This window comes from Homo sapiens, chromosome 1 (genome assembly GCF_000001405.40).
Source record: "Homo sapiens chromosome 1, GRCh38.p14 Primary Assembly".
NCBI lineage: Eukaryota > Metazoa > Chordata > Mammalia > Primates > Hominidae > Homo > Homo sapiens.
The window spans coordinates 26,762,756-26,777,709 of record NC_000001.11 but is presented as its reverse complement, the minus strand read 5'-3'; the positions used below and the strand labels follow the sequence as shown (position 1 = coordinate 26,777,709).

Here is a 14,954-nt window from a genome sequence, read left to right as displayed (position 1 = left end):
CCTCCTGCCTCGGCCTCCTGAAGTGCTGGGATTACAGGCGTGAGCCACTGCACCCAGCCAGTAATCCCAACACTTTGGAAGGTTGAAGTGGGAGAATCACTTGAGCCTAGGAGTTTGAGACCAGCCTGGGCAACACAGTGAGACCCTGCCTCTATAAAAAAATAAAGAAGTTATCCGGGGCCTGGAACGGTGGCTCACACCTGTAATCCTAGTACTTTGAGAGGCTGAGGTAGGTCAATCACTTGAGCCCAGGAGTTTGAAATCAGCCTGGGCAACATGGTGAAGCCTCATCTCTCAAAAAAAAAAAAAAAAAAAATTAGCTGAGCATGAGCATGTTTGCACGCACCTGTAGTCCCAGCCACTTGGGAAGCTGAGGTGGGAGGATCACCTGAGCCTCGGAAGTTGAGACTGCAGTGAGCTGTGATTGCACCACTGCACTCTAGCTTGAGTAATGGAGACCCTGTCTCAAAATAAATAAATAGCTGGACATGGTGGCATTTGCCTGTAGTCCCAGCTACTCAGGAGACTGAGGCAAGAGGATCGCTTGAGCCCAGGAGTTTGAGGCTGCAGTGAGCCATGAGGGCACTACTACACTCCAGCCTAGGTGCCAGAGTCTCTTAAAAAAAAAATTCTGGCTTTTCCAGGAAGTAGCTGTATAAAATGATAAAAATTCCTAAACTTTACAGGGTTGTTCTGAGGTGTAAATGGGAGATGTCAAATACCTGGCATATGAAAATTGCTCTATCAAAATTTTTCCTTTCTCATGGTAGGCAATATTATGCAATGGAAATAAAATCAGGCTTAGGAATCAGATAGATTCTACTGACAGCTATGTGAACCTCAACAAGGATAAGACTGAGCCTATTTACTCATCCCTAAATGGCCATACCTCCTACCTCTGAGGGCTGTTGCTAGGATGACATGAAACAAAATATTAAGGACCTGGCACAAAATAAGAGCACGATAAATGGTAACTATTAATAAGTCAGCTCCTTGATATACAGGTTGGTAGGTACTAAAGATGATCAAAAGAAAAAGAGTAGGATGATGCAGCACAAACTCTTTCCAGCACCTCCACTAGTGTGCACATCCTATGGAGGGTGGGTCTGAAGAATCAGCTTTGTAAGAATATTGTAGGGCCGGGCGCGGTTGCTCACGCCTGTAATCCCAGCACTTTGGGAGGCTGAGGCGGCTGGATCACGAGGTCAGGAGATCGAGACCATCCTGGCTAACACGGTGAAACCCCGTCTCTACTAAAAATACAAAAAATTAGCCGAGCGTGGTGGCGGGCGCCTGTAGTCCCAGCTACTTGGGAGGCTGAGGCAGGAGAATGGCATGTACCCAGGAGGCGGAAGTTGCAGTGAGCTGTGATAGCGCCACTGCACTCCAGCCTGGGCGACAGAGAGACTCAGTCAAAAAAAAAAAAAAAAGAATATTGTTAAACAATCAAATCCCCCATCCACTCTACATCTAAGGAAAACTGGGATCAACAAAGGCCCCTACTGTTCAGAGAAGAAAGGGAAAAATGGAAAAAACATACTCTGCTCACTGATAAAAATTTGACCACAGATTCAGGCTGGGCCTGGTGGCTCATGCCTGTAATCCTAGCACTTTGGGAGGATCACTTGAACTCAGGAGTTCATGAACCTCGGCAACATAGTGAGACCTCGTCTCTATTAAAAAAACAAAAAAACACAGATTCTTCTAGAAAATGTGGTGTCCCCACTGGCATCGATTGAATCTGAATTCTTACTAATACCACAAAGTGTCTCCCAAATTCCTTTTGAAGTCAATCCTGTGTTAAGGTTATCATGTAAACAAATTATTATTGCTGTCAAAATCCTGGGCCCGTGCCCAGAGGCAAAGGAAGCAAAGTACTGGCATGGAAGATATCTACAAGAGAGAAAGAGAAAGACCAAGGTGGCTAAAGATGAGACATTCCCATTGTCTACACTAAGAAGATCCCAAACCCTCTCAATCTTCCCCAGGCACTGATACTCACCTGACTGAGGTTGAAGGTCATGATGCTGTTGTCATCATACAGCAGGATGTTGATGGTATCTAATGCCCATGTGCTCTCTGCCAGGAGACCAGACTTGAGGGACATCATTACCCGCCATGCCTCCGGGGTTCCTGAAATAAACCTCCATGTCGTCTATCCACCAAGCCCAGGTTGGCTGGAGGCACCCCTAGGGCTGCCCCATCAGTGAAGCTACTCTGAAGATAACACAAGGTGGAAGGCAGTTTCTGTCTGGGAGATGAAACACACCAGCCCCTCATGGCTTCTAAGCTGTCTGTCTAGGACTTCATTGCATGGCAATGAAGGAGAACCTTTAGTTAGCTTATTTCTTCCTTTTCCAAAGTTCTTTGGTTCTATTTTAGTCAACACTGGACCAGATTCAACCTCATCCAGAATAGTAAGGTGGAGGGAACAATGGACAAGATGGAAAGGGGCAGATTAGGCAACCGAATGAGGAAGATCTCCTTACCAATGTCTTTCATTGTGAGCCGCCTCCTCTGCTTCAACACAGGCTGTGTGGCTTCAACAGAGCCAGGTGGGAAGGTGATATCCCGCCGAATCATGGGGGGCTGCACAGGGGCAGGTGCTATGTGCGAGGCAGGTACTGGGGGACCTGCCTTCTGCATTTTCATCCCAGAGTGCAGGAATGGAGACTTGCTAGGAGAGGTGCGGTTCTCCATTGGCCGGGGCAGGGGAGCAGGGCTGGATACCTGAGGAATGTGATTCTGCATGCTTGGTGGGGGCTGGTAGTTAGATGGAGGGGGCCTTGTCATGGGGGGCACAGGGGCAGAGGGACCATATGGGGGCTGGCGTGTGCCATGGGAAGGCCACGAGCCTTCGTGGTTGGCCCTCTGATCTGTGTGCAGCATTTCATCTGTTCGGTTCACGCCATGATAGGCGGGGCCCTGGGGGGCAGAGCCCGTGCTCTGCCTGTTGGCATAATTATAGGTCATGTCATTACGCCCCTGCCACATGGTGCCTTGCTGAGCAACCTCAGCTGATGCCTGTATGGGGCCGCCCATCATTTGTGGTGGCATGTTTTGCTGGGCATTGGTGCCAGGGGGTGCAGAGACACGGTCTCGGCCAAACTGGAATGGAAATTGGTTCTGGGGGCCGCCTGCTGGTCGGCGCTCAGTAGCAGCTGTGGCAGTGGCAGGATAGGCATTGCCATACTGGTTGTATACATCTTGCTGAGGGGAAGGCTGGGCAGCTTGTTGCTGGCTGGCAGGCTGGGGCTGGGCTGGGGGCAACTGCTGCTGCTGAGGCTGCCCCTGCCCAGTGCTGTATGGCACGCTGTACATCTCCCCTTCGTGCCGCTTGGCAGGAGGGCCATATGTGCCATCCATTGGCCGCTTGTAATTCTAAGGCAGAGACAAGCAGAGGGGAAGTTAATACTCTGCACTCAGGGACATAAAGCCCACAGATGCCAAGATGGCTACAACCAGATGCTTGGTGGACACAGACTCCAAGAAAACATGGGAATCACCTTAACAAATTGTCTTTTGAAGTTGTTTCCAAAAGCAACCACCACTCTTTCTTCCCTTCCCTTGCTTAAGTAGAAAAATATACAAAACCTAAAAATCAAAATAAGGTCTATTTCTAGCCCCTTCCAACTCCAAATAGAGAAGAGATTGAGGACGTGGCTCTTCAGGCAGGACTGGCCAGTCAGGTGAGAGAAGAATGCCAAAATATCTAAAGTGAGCTTCTTAGACTTCAACACGTTAGATTAGTTTACTAACTAGTTTTCAAGGCGAACCTGCATGCCAGTCCATTCCCAGCTACCCTCCTCACCTGCTGTTGCTGTTGATACATTGTAGTCTGCTGGCTGGGGAAGGGGCTGCCAGAAGGGGTGCCTTGGGTGGAGAACTGATTGCCATAGGAATCATGTCTATAGGAGGCAAAGAAACACAGGATTAGGGTGGGCAGTGGCGAAGCCTGATCCATAGCAGCACCGAGACCAGGCTTTACTCACCGTTGCTGCTGCTGCTGCTGCTGCTGCGGGGGGTAGCGGCTAGGAGAATACATCCCCGAGTCTGGGTTGGAAGGCATGAGATTCGGCTGTGGGGCCCCAGTGCTCATGTTTCCCTCAGGCCCTATTCCAGGCTCCGTCCTAAACAAAATTGGAGAGGCAGATTGAGCCCACTATAGCTTCAGGGTGCTGGGGGAGTGGACAGGAGCTGGGGTCATGCTTACCTCACTCTGTCATAAGGACCTCCATAGGGATAGTGCTGTCGTGGTCCCATCGCCACATTTCCTAGCCCAGGGCCGGCAGCACGACTGTAGGGGTCACCCATCCCGCCGTTGGGGCCCTGCCCTGAGGACATGAAGGGATCACTCCCTGGAGCTGAGCGTAGAAAGGCAAGCGGTGAACAAACTGGTAAGTTGACAAGCCTGGTAATCTACCCTTTGACCCAGGCCCTCTTCAGAGTTCAGGTTTGATCTCATTGTTTTCCAGACAAGTTCAAAACAGAGATCTAAAGAGGCCCCAACCAGCGAAAAGCATGTACTTATTAAGGGATGACAAGGTGAAGCCAAGGAGAAGACAAGAAAGGAGGTAAGGATGAAGAGGGGTAGTTAGGGCAGGAAATGCATTATCTCAGAGGATGGCTCCACAAGAACCCTGAGCCATTCTCAAGATTTCCCCCCATTTCACTGGCCCTGTCTTTACGAGCACAAGTTCAAATAGCAATCAGATCAGTCACCTTTCCTCATGCTGCCATAAGGATCCTTATTTGGCTCATAGGACATGCGCCCCATCATGTCAGAGGTATTCATACTGGGCTGATACCCAGGGTTTGGAGTCATGGAATTCCGCTTCTGGAATGTGGAGTCACTTCCATCATTAAAGGCATCCTGGATCCCAACTGAATTGCTCCTGCTCCAGAGTGAGGAAAACCAAGTAAACCACAAATAAACCAATTCCTCCAATATAACAAAGGACACGCAGGAGTCACTGGCTGGGAAGGCAGAGGCAAGGACCACCTTGGGCTGCAAGGAGTTCCCATGCACTTATCTTCAGCCATCCTCCCAACCATCTGCCCCTGCTCTTGGCCTTACCTCATGCCTGGCAATGGGGGGATCTGACTGTGTGGTGTGGATGCTGGAGTTGGTGGCTTTAAGTCTCCTCCTTCTGCCATGGAACTGCTGGTTGACTGGGGAGTCTGGGGCCCCTGCATAGATCCTGATCCCGCTGTGGACAGAGATACAAGTTGAGTAGTTTGCTTGGCATGACAGTGTTTAACTCTCACACAAACACACGAACGACCCAGAATCTCTTTGGGAAAGTTCTTCCTAAGGCCTTTAAAGCCTGATCACCCTTCTTAGCAGAGGATCTACAAGGCCAGGTCATAAAGACGGGAATCTGAGGGTTTTGTAGCTCTTTGTTTTTGTTTTACGTGTAGAAAAGAGGAGTGATGTGGCCATGACATCACCATGCTGGTGATTCCCTGAGTCATTGCCAGCTTCCCTGGCTATTTCTCTTCACTCCGCCAAAGGACCTTGTCTAACCTACTAAACCCTGTAATGCTGGTGCATGAGCTCCAGTCAGAGCCTCCCAAGTCCTGGGTGGGAAGGGGGTCCCAAATCTGGGATGCATTTTAGGAGTCTAGGAGCTCCTGTTCTAAAGCATCCAGCATGGTGTCACTCCTCAACTTCAAATGTTCTTCTAAGCTGATGAGTACAAAACTACTAGTAATTAATGTTTCCAATAGTTACCATTCCCAGCAGTAGATATCCCACTGCTGAGGCCTCCCCAGCTGATGAGTCATCTCAGGCACTCATTACACCCTCAGAGGTCAACACCAGGGCACATGTGTTTACACCCACCTTCCAGGCACCCTGGCCTTCTTCCCTCTCTAGGCTCACCCTAGGCCTCAGCCTCCTCTCAGAAAGGAGGGTGAGCAGAGCCACTCCCATCAGGGAGTTCCATTCATAACCCTTCCCCACTCCCTCCTTCCCATTCATTACCATCTCAGCTCCCTGGGGAATTCAGGGCTCTAGTCTGAGCTGCATTCTAAGGTGCTGACATCAATAGGCCAAAGCTCCCAGATGGCCCTGCCTTGCTGCCATTTATAAGTTCCACCGACTCCTCTTGTGCCCCTCCCATTCACCAGTTTACAAACATTTGGCAAGTTGTCAGCTGCACAACAAAAATTAAAACTTAAGAGCTGCCGTAGAGTACCTCCCAAGGGAGTTTCCACTGCCCACTCTCTAGTCAGCCAACCTGTTAAGCCCTGTGGTAGGGCAAGGCAGAGCACAGATCCTTGGCATATCCTGTTGGATAAGCCTCTTATTCATATCCTGAATAAGAGGCCAGGGCAACAGGCCCTCTCAGCCTTGGTGGGGCCGCTGACCCCATCCTTACCAGGAGAGGGAGGCTGGATCTTGGGCTGGGACTTCTTGGAATCAGCAGCTGCAAAGATGTCTGGGGGAGGGTCTTCTCCCCGTTCAATCTTGCATTCAAAGGCATAGAGACACTGGATATACTGCTTTTTCAAGGAGCTGGCAGCACTGCTTGATGTGCCCACATTGAGGTTGGTTGCAAGTTCCCGCCATTTTTTGTTCTTGTTGACCTGTATAACCAAACCAAAGGAGTCGAGGTATATCTCCCGCCTGGTTTTCCTGCCCATAAGCCCCAAGCCCCATCAGGCTGTAAGGTATTCATCTTTGTAGAACCACAGTTCTTAGGTAATTGAAAAAGTTAATCTTGCTTGGTGGATAGTCCACAAGAAGTGTTAAATCTGCAGCTGGCTTCATTTTACCCTCAGGATGTTCCACTGCAACTATCAGACTGTGCTTATTCACAACAGGGCAAATTTCACATTACTACTGGAACAGAATTCAGAGTCCGGTTTTTTAGTACGCTGCTAAAAAGTGGTGTACAAATCATCTGGATATCTAAATCCTATTTTATTTATTTATTTTTGAGACAGAAAAAATAAATCTCGCTCTGTCGCCTAGGCTGGAGTGCAGTGGCGTGATCTTGGCTCGCTGTAACCTCTGCCTCCCGGGCTCAAGCGATTCTCTTATCTCAGCCTCCCGAGTAGCTGGGATTACAGGTGTGCACCACCACGCCTGGCTAATTTTTGTATTTTTAGTAGAGACGGGGTTTCACCATGTTGATCAGGCTGGTCTCAAACTCCTGGCGTCAAGTCATCTACCCGCCTCAGCCTCCCAAAGTGTTGGGATTACAGGCGTGAGCCACCGCGCCTGGCCCTAAATCCTATTTTAGATGCACTAATAAAAACTAACATTTTATAAAATGGAGACTCATGATAATATCAGTGACCACCCTGCTTGACTTGCTTTGTCAAACTTGGGATTTACTCATATTTTTTTCTTGGGGTGGTGGCTCCCTGCAAATTTGACATTCTTGTGCCACTGCTCCCCTACATATCTCATTGACAAATAACCACAGGTCCCTTTCCCTTACCAGTCACTGTCCTGATGGTCCGGGTGTTCAGGGTCTTATTTATTTAGAGACAGAGTCTCACTCTGTCACCCAGGCTCGAGTGTAGTGACGCCATTTCGGCTCACTGCAACCTCCGCCTCCCGTGTTCAAGTGATTCTCCTGCCTTAGCCTCCCAAGTAGTGGGACCACAGGTGCCTGTCACCACACCCCACTGATTTTTATATTTTTAGTAGAGACAAGGTTTGGCCATGTTGGCCAGGCTGGTCTCAAACTCCTGACCTCAGATGATCCGCCCGTCTCGGCCTCCCAAAGTGCTGGGATTACAGGTGTGAGCCACTGCGCCTGGCCCGGGGCCTTATTATGACTTTTGTACCTCCCGAGCAGCCAACCTACAGTTCTGCCTCCTTCCCTCAGCTTCAGGGCACACTGACCAAGCCCATTCCCCAGATGCTCCCTACAATTAGTCTTTCTGCTCTAGCTGGACAGGTCTCCTTCTTCATGTATTCTTATGCTTATTCATCTACCATATGGTAAGCCTGTTCCCCCAAGGCCTGGGAACAAGGGTTTTCAAGTCCCTATACACAAAGGAAGTTCAATAGGTTGTAATGTCTGCTGATATGATACCTATGATACTAGAAAGAAGAGTTTAAAGAGGCACAGAGGGGGACAACCTAGAGGGGCAGAGGTGACTAGGAATACTTCTTAGAGTGGGTAACACCTGAGCTAAGTCTTCATGGTTGGAGATGGCCTTGGTGGGAAATATCTAGACTCTCTCCCATCTCCGTGGCATCTAGGCCAGTCTACTGGATTGGCCACTCTTCCACCTAAACCCTACTAATCCTTTAGATAAGCTCAAGATTCAGCTTTGCTTTCTTGGAGCCTTCACAAACTAACTTATAAATAGCACTCTTTTGCCCCTGAATTATCACTGCCTTTATAAAAGTTCAGTTACAATCACGGCATTTTAAAGGTTTGCATCCTTTTCCAATCTGGAAGACAGGCTCAGGCATTAGAATTCTCTCTGTACCTCATCCTAGGTTCAGTGAACCCTGAAGCCCACCCAATCAGAAGTGAGCGAAACCTAACCCAATGCTCCCTTTCCCTATAGACAGGGAAGGCTTGACTATGAGATCTGAGTATCAGGGAGAATGGCAGGAATATGCATGGAGTCACCTCAAAAGCCTTCCGTGGCTTTGCTTCTCATGCCAGTTATGTGGCAGTATGCACGTGTCTTATTTTGTTTTGTTTTCCTTTGTGGGGGAGGGGAATAAAGCCTGAAGGGAGAAGGAATTCATAACTGACTGTTGGCTGGCTTCATTCCAACCACTTTCTTTTCTGCTGGTGACAGCTGTTTTCCTCTTCTGATTTAGAAGGTTTGGAATAAATCCCTCCCTGCCACACCTCCCCGAGCTCAGCCACAAACTGATCCAACAGCAGGCTTCTGGTCTGGTGACTACAGAACATACACAGGAGGGAAGTCTGCAAGGCACAGTCTGCTGTCTGTCTGTGCTGCCTCACCTGTTTGCTTCCTGGGCTGAGTCTACAAAATTGTAAGGTATCAGAGTAGGCACAAGCTCTGGGTGGTGTCCAATTCAGGTTTTCATTTAAGTTTCCCATACAGAATAACTAAACACATAATTTCCTACTACTTCTTCCTTTATTATAAACTATTTCTACTAAGCAGTTCCTGAAATCCTATCTCTACTGGGAAGCTTCCAGGAATGGGAAGATCTACTTCTACTCTGGCTGCCTCTGTACCATCTTGCAGGCCGATTTATGTGGCAGAAACCTTGCTGAAAGCCAAAGTTATTTCTAACTTTTGACAGTCTAGTGGGTTATATACTGTTACATACTGTTTGTATTTTACAAATAATGAAATTAAGGTTCAGAGTGGTTACACACCTTAAGGTCATATATGTTATAAGTGGCCAAGAAGGGATTCAAAACCAGGTCCATCTCTCCAAATCCTGTCTTTGCTACTATGCCAAATTGCCTCCCATGGAATCAGAATGCCCACAGACTTTCCCTAGCTTTACACCTCAGTGGGACCATAGATACACGGTAAACTTACTGCTAATACCTCATACTACCAGGGAGGTCTCTGCTTCCTGCCTTATCTTCTGGGAAACCTGTGCTCCCCGGTCTATCAATATTAGACTCAGAAAGCGGGAGAGGGGATGATGTCCCTGTGGGATGCATGGTACCACATGAAGCCAGTGAGTACCTAGAAAGGGGTTTGTGGAAACCACAGGGGCAGTCAAGTGTCAGGCGCCCACTCACCTGAGTCAATCCACCAATCTCCTTCACAGACACATAGAGGCGATAGAGGTCCAGAGGTTTCCTACCCACAGCAGGCAGATTTGTCATGCCCATGGCCTTCTCCTCAGTGAAGGCCAGATAACGGTCCACCCACATCTTCCTCTCAGGCTCACCACCCAGCTCATACAACTTGGTGATCTTCTCATTGGTTGTAGTAGAAGAACTGGATTTCTGGAAGGTTCAGGTCAAAATTCATAGGAATGGGTCAGATTCAAAGCCTGTGCTAAGGGTCTCAGAAGTCTCTTGACTGGAGCAGTGTTAAAGCTTCTTACTCTGGGGTGGTTACTAACACCTGTCCTACCTTCATAAGGTTGAAGGGCCAAAAGAGAACCAAATTTTTTTTTCCTATAAAGGAAGGAAGCTAACACTAAATATATGTTATGTACTGGGTGCTGTGCTAGATGCCTTTATATATTAGGTATTATAAAATTATCCCCATTTGTAAAGATAAGGAAGCAGGCACCAGGAGGCAAAGCCTAAGATCTCACAGCTTTTAAGTGGCAGGCTGAGTATCAAATCCTTGTCCACCTGACATCAAAGCCACTACTGCTCCCACACTACTACCCAGGAGCCTGAACATACTTAGGTACTATGTTTTAGAGAAATCGAAAAACTCACAACATGATCTTGAGGCAATGGGATGGACTAAAATGAAAAGAAACTCTTTGCCTCTTCTAAACAAAGGAAAGGTTTCCCACCTGGTTGAAGGGCTTTGGATATTATCCTGTACAAGACAGGAACGTGGTCAAAAGGGCTGGGAGCCAGAGGTGAAGACTCACAGGAATTAACAGCTATGATTTTTATTTTCCCTATGTATACAGATAGGGAAAGTGAGGTATGGCCAAGGACAGAAATATTACAAATGACCCAAATGCTGAGTAGGACCCTTTACTACCGCACAGCCTAACAGTACACCCAGGACCAACCTAAGGGAAGCCAAGGACTCAAGCCTCATCTGCCTTATCTCCTTCTTTACAGAACACAGGGTACCATTCCTGCTGCTATGAGTAAGGTTCAGGAAGAGAAGAGCAACTAGTTGCCCATGGCACACCCCATCTATCAATGCTTGAGTATAGGAGGCACGGTTTCACAGAGGGCACCAGCCAAACAGTACAGAGAGTTTGATGCTGCAGTGTCTGGCATTTCCCCCATAACAAACAGCTGTGAGAATATTATGTTATTTACCAGGATCCCTTAGACCAACCCAGACCCAACTCACTGAGCTATTATTCTGGGACCTTTCATGATAAGAGGAGGCAACAGCAGCTTTTTCAGAGACTATCTAGTCCGGTGTCATAAAAGGCTGGGATCTTGTCACTCTCTTTTCTTTTTCCTTCCTATCACTGAAAAAGATAGGACACAAAGTTGAAAGGAGTCAAGACAAAAATCACTACCTTGGATTTGGATTCTGTCTTGGGTGTCCCATCTGCCTTGTTGTTCATTTTGGTGGCTGGAGTTAACTTTACATCCCCAAGGCCCATCATCTCTGGGCTGGCTGCCATCCCTGTAAAAGAGAAAAAAATTCTCAAGTCCAGTAAGTTTAGCTGTGATGTGACTCTTGAAGAAATCCCTAGTGAGAATGACTAGCACTTACCTGCAGAATTGTTGGCCATGGTTCCACCCATGGAATATGGGGGTCCCTGAGGGTTGATCATGCCAGCCATACTATTAATCCCTTGTCCATAAGGAGGTCCAGTTCCCATCATGCCCCCTTGATTCATATTGGGGTAGCCTGGCGGCCTAAGGAAGAAGATGGAAAGTGAGAGAGACAAAGGTTAGACTCTGAGCTTTTAGATTTGAACTGGAGCCAAATAGTGCTGTGTGATCATCTAGTAAGGATTAAAAGGAAAACATTTATGGGTCCCCAAAACTAGAACTATGCAACATCCAGATATTATTTTTCTTTAATTTATTTTCTTGAGACAGGGTATTGCTCTGGCACCCTGGCTGGAATGCAGTGGTGTGATCATAGCTTACTGCAGCCTTAATCTCCTGAGCTCAAACAATCTGCCTTCCTCAGCCTCCTGAGTGCCTAAGACTATGAGGCATGCACCACCATGTCCAGCTAACACCCAGATTTTCTTTTTTTTTTTTTTGAGACAGAGTTTCACTCTTGTTGCCCAGGCTGGAGTGCAATGGTGAAATCTCGGCTCACTGCAATCTCAGCCTCCCAGGTTCAAGCAATTCTCCTTTCTCAGCCTCCCAAATAGCTGGGATTACAGGCATGTACCACCACACCCGGCTAATGTTGTATTTTTAGTAGAGATGGGCTTTCTCCATGTTGGTCAGGCTGGTCTCGAACTCCTGACTTCAGGTGATCCACCTGCCTCGGCTTCCCAAAATGCTGGAATTACAGGCATGAGCCACCGAGCCCGGCCAACACCCAGATTTTCTTATCTTCTACCTCCCACGAAAGATACTAAGAGAGTTCAAGCTCTAGATAGCAAACAATAGTTCAATTTTTTTTTTTTTTGAGATGGAGTCTCGCTCTGTTGCCCAGGCTGGAGAGCAGTGGCGCGATCTCAGCTCACTGCAAGCTCCGCCTCCCGGGTTCACGCCATTCTCCTGCCTCAGCCTCCCAAGTAGCTGGGACTACAGGCACCTGCCACCACGCCCGGCTAATTTTTTGTACTTTATTAGTAGAGACAGGGTTTCACCGTATTAGCCAGGATGGTCTCGATGTCCTGACCTCGTTATCCGCCTGCCTCAGCCTCCCAAAATGCTGGGATTACAGGGGTGAGCCACCATGCCCGGCCAATTTTTTTTTGAGATGGAGTTTCACTCATCTCCCAGGCTGGAGTGCAATGGCATGATCTCGGCTCACTGCAACCTCCGCCTCCCAGGTTCAAGCCATTCTGCCTCAGCCTCGTGAGTAGCTGGGATTACAGGCGCCCACCACCATGCCTGGCTATTTTTTTGTATTTTTAGTAGAGATGGGGTTTTGCCATGCTGGGCAGGCTGGTCTTGAACTTCTGACCTCAGGTGATCCACCTGCCTCAGCCTCCCAAAGTGCTAGGATTACAGGAGTGAGCCACCGCACCCGGCCACAATAGCTCAATTTCAAAGGGTGTAATTCTTTGAAGCAGAGCCCTGCTGTGTCCTTTAAGTACTGCCTTCCTCAAAGCCACCTCCAAAGTCAAGTTGTATTTCCATTTAAGGGCCCTGTCTGTGGCAAAAGGCATAGATGAAATGCTGAACTGTACCACTTTTTGTCATGCTAAATCCCAACCAGACTGGAACCCTCAGCATAGCACCCAGAGGTGGCTTTGCATTATTTCTTGAGGGGCCCAATGCAAACTTTGCACTTCCATCATTCTGAAGTTCTACCAAATCCACCTCTTTATAGTCAATCGCCCTATTCTACCTTGGTTCATCAACAACAACTCAGTAAGATTTAGTGGCTAAAGAAGTTGTTAAACCTAATCACATGAGCCTTCTGTACTCTAGCACCAGAGTCAACACGTAGGACCACATAAAACAGTAGGAGAAATGGCAAACCACAAGCTTACCATTTGCTATTTCTAACACCAAAGATCCAAGACATATGTATCATTAAGAATCCTTTTGGAAACCAAAAAGTTGACTGATAGAAGTTAAACCACCTACTCTGAACACTTATTTTGCACATCAAAATAAGCAGTCTTTAGCCCTGGCAACACACTGAGACCCCATCTCTATTTAAAAAAAAAAAAAAAAGGCCGGGCATGGTGGATCATGCCTGTAATCCCAGCACTTTCAGAGGCCAAGGCAGGCAGCTCACTGGAGGTCAGGATTTTGAGACCAGCCTGGCTAACATGGTGAAACCCAGTCTAAAAATATAAAAATTAGCAGGGCATGGTGGCGGGTGCCTGTAACACCAGCTACTTGGGAGGCTGAGGCAGGACAATTGGTTGAACCTGGAAAGCAGAGGTGGCAGTGAGCTGAAAGTGTGCCATTACACTCCAGCTTGGGCAACAGAGTGAGACAGTCTCTAAATAAATAAATAAATATAAAAAATAAAAAAAATTAGCTGGGTGTGGTGGTGTGTGCCTGTAGTCCCAACTACTCAGAAGGCTGAGGTGGGAGGATCACTTGAGCCTGGGAGGTCGAGGCTGCAGTGAACTGTGGTCATGCCACTGCAATTCAGCCTGGGGAACAGAGCAGGGTCCTGTCTCAAAAGACCCCAAAATAAAACACCCCACAAAACCCCTTTTTTCGACAGTCTCGCTCTGTCGCCCAGGCTGGAGTGTGGTGGCGCAGTCTTGGCTCACTGCAACCTCTTCCTCCTGGGTTCAAGTGATTCTCCTGCCTCAGCCTCCCGATAGCCGGGATTACAGGCGTGCGCCACCACACCCAGCTAATTTTTGTATTTTTAGTACAGACGGGGTTTCACCATGTTGATCAGGCTGGTCTTGATTTCTGACCTCATGATCTGCCCGCCTTGGCCTCCCAAAGTGCTAGGATTACAGGCATGAGCCGCCACGCCCGGCCAAAAACCTGTCTTTTATAAAGCTCATTACATATGATGTTTAGTCACGTGAAATTTCAGACCCATCTAAGGTATGTAAGAATTAACACTTCATACACACACACCCATTTTCCCCCCCTGGTTTAGGTCCAGAAGCATCTCAATAATCTGAGTGGGTCTATAATACATTTTCTTGCACTGACACCCTCTCTGCTTCCCAGGCCTTACCTGTTTTGGATAGAGTTGGCAGCAACATGCATGGCGACAGCAGTTTCTTGGGTTTTCCGGTTCATGCCCCCTGGTGGGGGACACATCCCTGACCCAACCTGAGGTGGCATATTGGCCATGTTAGGGCCATAAGGCCGGTTGCCCATGGAGGCGTGACTCATCCTCCCTGGAGGGAGTGTGCCATAAGGTGGGATGCCAGGCTGTCCATGCATTTGACCTCCGGCACCCATGGGGTTTATGCCTCCAGCCATGCCTGCACTGGGGTAGTTGGCATTGGGCAAGGCATTATAGTTTGGCTGCCTGGGGTAGCCACCTGGGAGGGGAGGAAGACAAGACTTGGTTAGTCACTCACTAGCAACTCACTAATATCTCTCAACTCTAGAACACCAAACAATGTCATTCAATATTTTGGTTAGGAAAGAGATCAACTTCATGGTAGCCTTTATCGCCATGAGAAAAAGGGGGGGATTCCAGAAGCATGTAAAGGCAGGTCAGAGCAAGGCTGGCTTTGCTGCCACACAGGCATTTCA

At 48.1% G+C, this 14,954-nt stretch overlaps 1 protein-coding gene across 2 annotated transcripts in view, besides 1 other annotated feature; it reads right to left on the bottom strand.

The window, feature by feature from the left end:
• Nucleotides 1–14,954, bottom strand: part of ARID1A (AT-rich interaction domain 1A) — an 86,090-nt gene that overhangs the window by 4,395 nt on the left and 66,741 nt on the right. Inside the window, exons 8-19 of one of the 2 annotated variants that reach the window (NM_006015.6) lie at nucleotides 14,425–14,737; nucleotides 11,344–11,489; nucleotides 11,144–11,253; nucleotides 9,711–9,920; nucleotides 6,384–6,591; nucleotides 5,078–5,210; nucleotides 4,723–4,898; nucleotides 4,214–4,364; nucleotides 3,993–4,130; nucleotides 3,812–3,908; nucleotides 2,490–3,381; nucleotides 2,003–2,133 (exon numbers count right to left, since the gene is read on the bottom strand). In NM_006015.6, coding sequence (NP_006006.3) covers nucleotides 2,003–2,133; nucleotides 2,490–3,381; nucleotides 3,812–3,908; nucleotides 3,993–4,130; nucleotides 4,214–4,364; nucleotides 4,723–4,898; nucleotides 5,078–5,210; nucleotides 6,384–6,591; nucleotides 9,711–9,920; nucleotides 11,144–11,253; nucleotides 11,344–11,489; nucleotides 14,425–14,737 — 2,705 coding nt within the window. The remainder of the gene's footprint in view (nucleotides 1–2,002; nucleotides 2,134–2,489; nucleotides 3,382–3,811; nucleotides 3,909–3,992; nucleotides 4,131–4,213; nucleotides 4,365–4,722; nucleotides 4,899–5,077; nucleotides 5,211–6,383; nucleotides 6,592–9,710; nucleotides 9,921–11,143; nucleotides 11,254–11,343; nucleotides 11,490–14,424; nucleotides 14,738–14,954) is intronic. The other variant, NM_139135.4, reaches the window with a different exon arrangement.
• Nucleotides 4,337–5,536: an enhancer, noted in NCBI's record as "CDK7 strongly-dependent group 2 enhancer chr1:27098665-27099864 (GRCh37/hg19 assembly coordinates)". NCBI's record gives its function as "activates an origin of replication core promoter dependent on BRD2, BRD4, P300/CBP, MED14 and CDK7 cofactors, with strong dependence on CDK7, by STARR-seq in HCT116 cells {active_cell/tissue: HCT116}" and the evidence as "EXISTENCE:reporter gene assay evidence [ECO:0000049][PMID:35650434]".